Raw genomic sequence first — 11,722 nt, 5'->3', positions numbered from 1 at the left:
AGTGATTAAAGACCTAAATGAAAGATAACGTGATATACAGCTAGTAGGAACAAATGGCAAATGTTTTTGTGCCTTGGGGTAAAGATAAATTTCTTAAATAAGATCCCAAAGCACAATGCATAAGATTTGATAGCTTTGATTACTTTGTAATTAAAGGTTTCTATTTAGCAAAGCATCCCATAGTCAAAGCTAAAGATGGATACGGATTAGGAGAAAATATTTGCAGTGTCTAAAACTGACAAGGATTGCATATACAAGGGATAGAATATAGAAAGAGCTTCTGCAAATCATGAAGAAAAAGACAGATGAAATAAAAATATGCAAAAATATGAATAGGTAAAATCTAAAGAGAAAACCAGAGTGGCTCATAAGTATATTACCTCACTAGTAATTACAGATACGCTAATTAAAACACTGAGTTTCTACCTTACATCTTAGTTTGGCAAAAATAAGCAAGAGACTGATCTGATGGGGAATCAGAACTCATGGAATATTTTCTCTTCTTTTCTTTTCTCTTTTCCTTTCTTTCTTTTTTTTTTTTTTTTTAAAAAGACAGAGTCTTACTCTGTCATCCAGGCTGGAGTGCAGTGGTGCCTCTGCCTCCCAGGTTCAAGCAATCCTCCCACCTCAGCCTCCTGAGTAGCCAGGACTGTAGGCATGCGCTACACAATTTTTGTTTTTTTAGTAGAGATGGGGTTTCACCATGTTGGCCAGGCTGATCTCGTACTCCTGACCTCAGGTGATCCGCCCGCCTTGTCCTCCCAAAGTGCTGGGGTTACAGGCATGAACCACTGTGCCCGGCTACATGGAATATTTCAGCTGGTGTATTCATTTTGGAGAACAAATGAATGAAACTTACTGAAATCAAGTAATACCTAGGGAGCGATATTGCAGTTTTTAATAGTGTGGCTCTGGAGCTATACTGCCTGAATTTGAATCCCAGCTATGTCGTTTGCTAGCTGTGTAACCTTTGGTAAGCCAGTTAACTTCTCTATGCCTTAGTTTTTTCGTCTGTGAAATAGACATAATAGTACCTACCTCATAGGTTTATTGTAAGCTTAGAACAATGCCTGGCACACAGTAGTGTCACAGAATTATTAGCTGTTATTATTATCATTGTCATCATTATCATCAAGTAGGGCAGCCAGCTTCCACGATGGCCCCTAATGATCTCTGCCCTCTGGTATATAAACCCTTGTATAGTCCCCTCCCACAATAAATAAGGTTGACCTGTGTAACCAATAGGATGTACTAGAAATGTGTGACTTACGAAGGTAGGTCATAAAAGGTATTAAAATATCTGCCTTGTGCTATCTTGGATCCTTGCTCTGGAGGATGCCAGCTTCCATATCATGAGGACACTCAAGCAGCCCTCTGGAGAGGCCCAGGTAGAGAAGCTCTGAGGCCTCTCACCAACAGCCAGCACCAAATTGCCTTCTGTAGGAGTGAATCACCTTGGAAGTGCATCCGCCAGCTCTACTCAAGCCCTCCCTCAGGCTTGCAGCCCTGATCGACCTCGTGAGAGATCCTGACCCAGAACATCCAGCTCCAGATTCTTGAACCAAAGAAACTCTGAGATAATAAATGTTTAGTATTTATTTATTTATTTGAGGTGGAGTCTTACTCTGTTTCCCAGGCTGGAGTGCAGTGGTGTGATCTTGGCTCACCACAACCTCTGCCTCCCGGGTTCAAGCAATTCTCCTGCCTCAGCCACCCGAGTAGCTGGGACTACAGGTGCCCATGCCCAGCTAATTTTTGTATTTTTAGTAGAGGTGGGGTTTCACTATGTTGGCCAGGCTGGTCTTGAACTCCTGACCTCGTGATCTGCCCACCTCGGCCTCCCAAAGTGCTGGGATTACAGGCATGAGCCACTGCGCCTGGCCATGTTTAGTATTTTTTAAAAACTGCTTTATTGAGATATAATTTACATACTACACAATTCACCCACTTAAGGTGTATGATTCAGTGGCTTGTAATATATCACAGAGTTATGCAACCATCACCACATTTAATTTTAAAACATTTTTATCATCTTGTGGGTACAAGAAACCTTGTACCCATTAGCAGTCACTCCCCACTTTCCCCTAACTTCTCCAGCCTTAGGCAAACACTAATCTACTTTCTGCCTGTATAGTTTGCCCGTTCTGGACTTTCATATATTAATAAGATATGAGTGAGACTGTCATATAATATTTGGCCTTTTGTGTCTGGCTTTTTGTGCTTAGCATAATGTTTTCAAGGTTCATCCATGTTGTAATATGTATCAGCCCTACATTCCTTTTTAAGGCTGAATAATATTCCCTTGTGCGGATATACCACATTTTATTTATGCATCATTTGATGGGCATTCGAGTTGTTTCCACTGTTTGGGTATTATGAATAATGCTGCTGTGAACAATTCATGTATAAGTTTTTGTATGGATGTATATTTTCTTTTTTATATTCCTAGGGGTGGATATATTCCTAGGAGTGAAATTGCTGGGTCATATGTAACTCCATGTTTAACTTTTTGAGGAACTGCCAAACTTATTCCAAAGAAATGTATGCGCGTTCCAATTTCTCCACATGCTTGCCAACACTTATTATTTGTCTTTTTGATTATAGCCATCCTGATGGGTGGGAGGTGGTATATCATTATGGTTTTGATTTGCATTTTCCTGGTGGCTAGTGATGTTGAGCATCTTTATATATCTTTTGGAGAAATCTTTATTCAAATCCTTTGCCCATTTTTCATTTGGGTTATTGGTTATATATACACATACACAGGCACTCTCTTACGTAAAGGGTTCTTTATATATATCTTGGTTATAAGTCCTTTACTAGATACATGATTTGCAAATACTTTTCTCATTCTATGGGTTGTTATTGTTTTAAGCTGCTCAAGCATTTAGGGAAGGAAGTTTGCATTTAGGGTAGGTAAGCAACAGCAGTTACAGTTATAACCATAACAATTGTTATACAGCAACAGATAACTAATACTTTATGTACATACTTCAAAGTAGTTCCACTCCTGGCTATATCCTTCGGAGAAATTTGCATAAATCCTTGAGGAGTAGATACAAGGATGTTTTTCTATGTATAGTTTGGGTGGCAAGAATTTGGAAAAAACTTAGATGTCCATCACTAAGGAAATTGATAAGTAAAATGTGGTATATGCATATAATGGAGTTTTTTTTTTAAGTCAAATGCAAGCTGTTAGGAATTTCGTGAAATGGTAGACTTCAAGTGAAAAAATAAGGAACAGTGAAATTTAAAGCAAAAATCAGCTATATAAACACATGAAGTGATATTATTTTATAAGGAGGATATACACCTTAATCAGTAGAATAGGTTTGTGGGAGGGAACAGAATGAGACTAGAATGGAGAATGAAGCGGGGAAAGGGAAGCAAAGAGGGCTTTGCATGGATGAAAGTGATCGTGTATCATGAACTCAGGCCTGTGATAACTCAGTTCTGTGCACCTGAAGCCCTAAGTGCAGCTCCAGAAGCAAGGTCTGGTTTCATGGAATTGACATTTAGTACCCATATTAGTTAGGGTAGACTAAACTGCTAAAGCAGACTCCAAATAGACATGTGTTTCCCCCCTGCTCACTCGTGTAACATGCAGGTCGTTTCAGGTTGAGAAAGTAGGAGTGAGATACTCTATGAAGTTGTTTAGGGATCAGGCTGATGCCAGCTTCACTATGGCTTCCAAGGTTGTGTTGGGCATTACCATTTTAGTGAGTTGAGCAGAACGTGAAGGATTGCTTGGCAGATGTTACCGGCTAGCTCTAGAAGCGGCACACACTTCTACTCATATTCTGTTGGTAAGAACCTAGTCACAAGGCTCCCTCTTAATGCAAAGGAGCCCGAGGCATATAATATGCATCAGGAAGAAGGGATAAATGGATGTTGTTGGACACATAACATATTATCTTTGCCACATTATATACTTCTCAGACTTGTAAAGAAAGGCTGTCCATCCCCCAGCCATTTGAGACATACATAGATTTTTAAATAGTTTTGAGACCTGAAAATCCCGAAGGGAGTATCAGTTGGGGTCACTACCAAGTTAGGGATGTCTCTTCCCTAACTCTGGCCAGTGATTGTCAGAGAAGGGCTTAGGTAGGGAGATAAAATGTAAACTGGAATTGTGTCGAGAATCAGCATTTATGAGATGGAAGTACTTTATTTATTTTTACAGCTCAGATCTTGCTGTGTTGCCCAGGCTGGAGTGCTATGGCATGCTTGAAACTTGTGGGCTGTGATCCTACTGTCTCGCCTTCCCAAGGTGGCAGAGGAGGCATTCAACTCCTAGCTCATTGTCACACCCCTTCTGCACAGCTAGGTTTTGTTTCTGTATGGGTTCGGGTTTTAACTTCATTTTTGTGGGACCCTCACGCTGTTTCTTAGGAACACCTCACTCTTAAGAGGCTCAGAGGCTTTAGAAATCTGAAATCACTTTTTTTCCCTTAACAAAGGAATGTATTATTTATTTATTTATTCATTTTTTATTTTTTTGAGACCGAGTCTCGCTCTGTCGCTTAGGCTGGAGTGCAGTGGCACGATCTCGGCTCACTGCGACCTCCACCTCCTGGGTTCAAGCAATTCTGCCTCAGTCTTCCGAGTAGCTGAGATTACAGGCATGCGCAGGAATGTATTATTTATTTTTAAGCAGAGATTAAGGTGTAGGGAAAGCAGTTAGATTCTGTTTCAGGTGAGCTCTATGTTTATTTAGTAGGCATTAGTGAACATTTAAAAACTCCACCCCCTCCAATTTCTCTGCCTGTAAGTGTGAGAACACAGCACATCTTGTAGGGCAGAGATCGCAAGCCTGTCCAGTCCCTAGCTGACTGTCATTTCCTAGGCTGTCTACTAGAGGGCAGTGTGATATGCCTTTTCTAGACTGGCGAAAGCGGAGCCCTGGGTCTATACACACTTAATAATAGTAGGCCTTAGATCTAGAACATAATCCTGTTTCCAATATGGAAAAGATTTTCAAGAGAGAGACCTAGTATTTAGGTTTTGACCAGAATCTCCCTTACTTGGGCTTTGGAAACCTTTCTCTACGTGGAAGATTTTTTTTTTCCTTTTAATCAAATCTCCTTTCTTGCGCCTCCTCCACTTTCAAGTTTAGACTTAAGAAGCCATGAGCAATGTGAAAAACCTCTGAATTGTACATTTTAAAAGGGTGAACTTTATGGTATGATAATTATATCTGAATTTAAAAATATTAAAACAGGCCGGGAATGGTAGTGCATTCCTGTAATTCCAGCTACTCAAGAGGTCAAGTGGGAGGATCACTTAAGCACAGGAGTTCAGGACCAGCCTGGACAATGAGACCCCATCTCAATGAAATAAATAAAATTTAAAAAATGTAAAAACAACAAAAAAGAAGAATCACTGAGCAGACACTCTGGCTCAGATAGAATATAATAGTAGTAATAGACGTAGTAATAGACTGGAATGACTCAGTCTCTCCTTTATCTCTCCTGAATGATTCAAACTTGATGGTGTTGATCTTGGCCTTATACAGCTTCACCCTTTCAGAAAACAAGGGCACGTGGGCGATCTTGGTGGTAGGTTGATACTCAGGCAGTACCTGTGAACCCACCCCCTTGGGAGGGGACAGAGAGCAGTCTGCTGAAAAAGGAGTCAGTCTTTCCCTCCGCATATCACATCCAGCGCCCTCTGTCAGCTAAGGAATTACAAAGTGTGTGACTTTATCCTGTCACACGTAAAAATGCAATCTCTAGTGCTTAGTAAACAGGGCCTGTTTTCTTTATTTTCCTTTTAGTAGGAGAGGAAGCAATTGTGCAGAGAGGTTAACTTGCTCAAAATCGCTCTGAGTTGGGAAAGAGTCAGAATTTAAACAACAGATTCCTCTCCCTGCAGTTGTCACCCCCACCTATCTTCACTCCAGTAGCAAGGTAAGAGGTGAGGGGGCAGTCCAAGGGACTGTTTCCTGTCCAGAGCAGTTCTTACCAGGGGTTCTCATAGCCTCTGCAAGGAGGTCCTAGTGTACTTGAAGCTGAGTTCCCCAGTCCTGGAAGAACTGCTTGCTGGTAGTTTCAGTTTGGAACTCGGCTTTGAAGATCCTAACCAAGTGTGTTAGAGGGGCACGTGCCCTTGACTCGTGTGTGTGTGTGTGTGTGTGTGTGTGTGTGTGTGTTTTGAGACAGTTTCATTCTGTCACCCAGGCTGGAGTACAGTGGCGCGATCTCAGCTCACTGTAACCTCTGCCTCCTGGGTTCAGGCAATTCTTCTGCCTCAGCCTCCCCAGTAGCTGGGATTACAGATGTGCGCCACCACACCCAGCTGATTTTTGTATTTTCAGTAGAGACCGGGTTTCACCATGTTGGTCAGGCTGGTCTCAAACTCCTGATCTCAGGTGATCCGCCCACCTTGCCTCCCAAAGTGTTGGGATTATAGGCGTGAGCCACTGCGCCTGGCCCCTTGTCTCTTTTTGCCAGGGGCTTGGGAGGTGGTAGACAAGACCTCTGGGAAGAGAGGAATGCCTGTCTGGGAAAAAAATTATTGTTTTAATTGCTCTCTTTCATTAAGTACTTACTGTGTGTCAAACGTGTATGTTCAGTGCGTACTTACATTACCTCTGTTGTCAGGGAGAGATCAGTCTGTGAATGGTTGTAGATTAGGGAGAGCCACATTTCTGGGTCTCCCAAGAAAAGGGGGGTTGGGATATCCCAGCAGGATAAACTCTTCCTTGTTTTCCCCCATACATCCTGAAGTTATAGGACCTTCATGCTGATTACTTGTTGACAGAGAGCTTGGGCACTTTACCCTGGTCACTGTGTCCCCATCAAATTTGACAGTGCTGTTGCCAGCCAGGATGGCCGTCTCCTGCTTTGGCCAGCTCAGCTCTTCATGCAGATTAAGTAGTGGGCTGCCAGCCGGGGGCAGTTTCCTTCTGCACATGCTGGATATGTTTGCTGCCCGGGGTAAAAATAATGCTGCAGGATGGAGCCATGCCAAGGGGCTTCAGGTGGTATTTAACATCTCCTGGGGCTATTTCCTCCTGGGCTTCCAACTGCTGAAAAGCAGCTCCCTTCTGCTGCTCCCCCCAGTGGGAAGTTCAGTTTGTGGGGGGTTGAGGGGGGGCGAGGGGGGGTCCTTCTGACCTTCCCTTCATTAATTGGGCTTAGTAGGGGAAGTCAGTGGTGGTCAGTCTCCTAGAGTGAGAGGTCATCAAAAAGTAGTCCATGTTACCTCCTATCAAGTTACTTAACTTCTCTGAGCCACAGTTTCCTTATTTATTTATTTTTTGTTTTTTTTTTTGATACAGAGTCTCGCTCTTGTCCCTCAGGCTGGAGTGCAGTGGCGCAATCTCAGCTCACTGCAACCTCCGCCTCCCGGGTTCAAGTGATTCTCCTGCCTCAGCCTCCTGAGTAGCTGGGATTACAGGCTCCTGCCACCATGCCCGGCTAATTTTTGTATTTTTAATAGAGACGGGGTTTCACCATGTTGGCCAGGCTGGTCTCGAACTCCTGACCTCAGGTGATCCACCCACCTTGGCCTCCCAAAGTGCTGGGATTACAGGCGTGAGCCACTGCACCTGGCCACACAATTTCCTTATTTGTAAAATCAGGGTAATACCTCCCTTTCTGGTTATTGAGAGGATCTGAAATAAAGTTATCTAGCATAGTGTCTGGCATGTAGTAGGTGCTTAATAAATAGTTTCTTAAAATAGATACTTAAAGAGCATGTCTGCTGCCTCAGTGGCACATGTCCCAGTCTCTGTTGATCCTTCTCTTGTCTTATTCCTGGCTTTACCTGAACACCAGGGTCACAGTTCTCTGGCTGTGTTTGGAGAGCCAGTGTCTCTTGCTGGGTGGGATTGAGGGATGTACTATTTGAAGAAGAGTAGTCAAACAGGTGGGGATCTTCTGTCCCCTGGAGAGGGGGTGTCTAGAGGCGGGGGAGAAGTGATTGGCTTGTTCCAGTGATTCTTGCCTGTCTCATGGTAGCCTTCTATTACCCATTGCCCCTTGTCAGGGGAGAGGTGGGTGCTGGTGGTGGTGTCCAGACAGGACCCAGTTTGAATTTATTTGAAGCTGGGGACATAAGAACTAGTGGTGGGGGTGGGGAGGGGTGAGGAGTTCTCTGCATTTAACATTTAAGGGCATGTGGAATTTCAAAAGCAGTTTTCACCAGCATTTCATGTTTGTTTGGTTGTTTCTTTTGCCTTTGAGCATAGTGCTGGTTGGGGGCAGGGTGGCTTATGATGAAGATAGTCAGTGGTGGACTCCTGCATAGGTGGGTGGAACTCCATATAGGAAAACACATTACCGCTGGGCTTAGTGCGGTTGCTACGGTGTCTGTGTCTCCTAAGGGGCAGGAAAAAGAACAGTCTCTAGGAGCAAAAGAGGAAGAGAATTGAGTCAGGGGTTTTGTTCTCTCTCTGCTTCCAAAGCTGCAAGGCTGTGTCCATGAGACCTTGAGGAAGCCCCTCCAGTTCCTCAGTGGGAGGGAAGAAGGTTGGCCCTCTGCACTGGCTGTGTTTTGACAGAAGTAAAACTCTTGACTCAGCCTTCAAAGTTCAAGGGTGGGATATTGGGAGAGGATGAGCAGCTTTTTGGCTTGTTAAGAAAGTCACGTTTTTGGCCAGTATAAAGTGGAGGAGGCAGAGTGGGGTGAGGTGTGTGGGAGTCCTGTGGGATGGAGAAAGCAGTCTGCCAAGGGCCATGTTACCTGTGGGTGATGCAGAGAGGCTGTGGTCATAATGGGGAGCAGGTAGTGAGAACTCTGTGGGGAGGGCTGTGTTTGAACCACTGAGGTCTGAGCAGGGCCCAGGGCAGGAAGCGTCCTGTGTTCTCTGCCTATCCACCCTGCATTAAAGGGAGGGAAGCAGAGAGCAGGAGCTCTGGGGACAGGGAGGGGAGTGAGAGGGGGATGCCAGGTAGTGGGTGACTAGAGGACTCTTATCCACAGTCTCAGAGCACACAGAGATGGCTGAAGGATGCCACTTTAAGTGATACCTTCTGGTCATGCTGGCAGTAGCTTCTGTGCTCAGCACCATCTTCTGTCCCCCAGCTTTTGAGGGGGCACCTATGCTTTGGCAAATGGACTTTGGTTCTGAGGTTTGGTGTCTTAGGTTGCCTCAAGCCTGCACTGGTTTTGGGAGAGGAGGTAGAGGCAGCTGTGTCCCCAACAATAGATGACTGTGGCCAGCAGCTAAGGGAAGGGTCCAACTCTGGATCTCCACCGTGTGTGTGTGTGTGTGTGTGTGTGTGTGTGTGTGTGTGCCCAAGCTCTGGCCCTGCAGATGTCTATCTTTTCCTGCCCTCATCTCTGCTTCCCACACCCACCCCCCACCCACGTGCACACACCAGGTGTTGTCCTGAGACCTGAGACAGAGGGGTGAGCTGCATCTTGTCAGCTGTGTAGATCTGCCAGTAGCTCTACAGTGGCTCCCTTTCAGAATCTGGAATCACAAAATAAGAATCTCAGAGTTGGAAGATACCTTAAAGGGCTTCTAGTTATTCCACCTTCCCCATACCAATTAGTGTGTAAGTATTTCCATCAGTTCACTAGCTCAACTGCTGTTCCCCTCTAGTACCATGGAAATGCAGTGTTAATTCGATTAATCCTAGAATCAAAGTTGGAAAGAGCCTTCGACAAGAGCTAATCCTCACACTCACCCCAGTGCCAGGATCCCCTGGCAAAACACATTTATGTGATGTGCCGTTCCACTCACATTTGAACATATGTATTCCATTCCTGAGCAACTCTAGCTTTTTTCCAGTTGTCTTTCCCCATGGCTTCACCATTTGTCTGAATTATCCAACTTGGGGCTTATATAAAAAAAAGACTAACTCCTTTCTATCTGACACAATTTTAGATGTGTTGGGATAAATTTTTCTCCCTGTGCCCTACCTGTTTCCCTTCCTGGGCCCACAGCATTAAGCTAATAGGAGGAGAGTCTTGCATTAAAACTTATACAGGAAAGGAAGCAGACAATCTTTTACATAATAAGGTAGTAGGAAATTAATCTTCATACACGGAGTTTTATTTTTGAAATTATTATATTCTTATTTGTATAAATGTATGGAATAGAGGTGCAATTTTGTTCCATGCACAGCTTGTGTAGTGGTGAATTCAGGGCTTTTAGGATATCCATCACTTGCATAATGTACATAAGGCCCATGAAGTAATTTCTCATCATTCACCCCCCTCCCACCCTCTCACCCTTCCAAGTCTCCATTGTCTATCATTCCATGCTCTTATGTCCATGTGTACACATTATTATTATTTTTTGAGACAGAGTCCCACTTAGTCACCCAGGCTGGAGTGCAGTGGCGCGATCTCAGCTCACTGCACCCTCCACCTCCTGGGTTCAAGCGATTCTCTTGCCTCAGCCTCCCGAGTAGCTGGGATTACAAGCAAACACCACCATGCCTGGCTAATTTTTTTTTTTTTAATACTTTTATTAGAGACAGGGTTTTGCGTTGTTGGCCTGGCTGGTCTTGAACTCCTGACCTCAGGTGACCTACCTGCCTCAGCCTCCCAAAGTGTTGGGATTACAGGTATGAGCCACCGTGCCCAGGGTGTACGCATTATTTAGCCCCCACTTACAAGAGAGGACATGCAATATATGTCTTTCTGTGTCTGATTTGGTTTCACTTAAGATAATGGCTTCCAGTTCCATCCATGTTGCTGCAAAAGACCATGATTTCATTCTTTTTTTATGGCCGAATAGTATTCCATTGTGTATATATACTACAGTTTCTTTATCCAATCATCCATTGATGGCCACTTAGATTGAGGTTGATTCTATATTTTTGCTATTGTGAACAGTGCTGTGATAGACATATGAGCACACACAGAAGGTTTAATGGTGTTCATGGACACCTCCCCTAGAGGGCCTCATCCTTCTCCTCTACCCTCAGTTCAACAGCAGAACCAAGCGTGACAACCTGTGCCAGAGGCTGACACCAGAGGGAGAGGCAGGAGGAAAAGGATGCAGGACCCTAGAAGAGCCATAATGTTGCCATTAGAAGAAAGCTGCTGGGCCCATCTGACTTTTTTTTTCCCCCAGTTTCTTCAACCATCCTTTTTAATGCATGATTTCGAGTCTCACACTGACTTCTCTGAACTCATTCCAGTTGGAGTGAGCTGGGCCGTAATGTTCAAAGTGTGCTGATCAGAGTACAATGGGTATCACTTCCCTCAGTGTAGACATTATGCGTGTTTGTATGTGTGTGTTTATATGTATAGTGTAACCTCAAACTCCTGGGCTCAAGAGATCCTTCTTGCCTCAGCCTCCTGAGCAGCTGAGACTATAGGTGTGCACCACCATGCCTGGCTAAATTTTAAATATTTTGTAGAGATGGGGGTCACGCTATGTTGCCCAGGCTGGTCTCGAACTCCTGGGCTCCCTCTCACCTCAGCCTGCCAAAATGTTGGGATTACAGGCATGAGCCACCACACTCAGCTAGATATTCTATTTAATTAACTAATTAATTAATTTTTTTAGTGGGTTAAGGAGTGGAACGTTTAATAGACAGAAGAAAGCAGAGAGGAGAGCAGTTCCTTGTGAAGGAGAGAGAGATGTCTGAAAAAAGGCCTAGATAGATATTCTATTTTAATCAGTGTATTTAAGATTGGATTAGCTTTCTTTTTTTTTTTTTTTTTTTTTTTTTTTTTTTTTGAGATGGAGTCTCACTCTTGTTGCCCAGGCTGGAGTGCAATGGCACAATCTCAGCTCACTGCAACCTCTGCCTCC

The 11,722-nt window shown here is 44.1% G+C and overlaps 1 annotated feature.

Moving 5' to 3' along the window:
* Positions 4,775-4,874: a silencer, noted in NCBI's record as "silent region_3922". NCBI's record gives its function as "represses an Ori minimal core promoter by ATAC-STARR-seq in GM12878 lymphoblastoid cells {active_cell/tissue: GM12878}" and the evidence as "EXISTENCE:reporter gene assay evidence [ECO:0000049][PMID:35858748]".

The sequence above is a fragment of the Homo sapiens genome, chromosome 11, assembly GCF_000001405.40.
Source record: "Homo sapiens chromosome 11, GRCh38.p14 Primary Assembly".
Classification (NCBI taxonomy): domain Eukaryota; kingdom Metazoa; phylum Chordata; class Mammalia; order Primates; family Hominidae; genus Homo; species Homo sapiens.
This window is presented reverse-complemented; position numbering and strand designations above follow the sequence as displayed.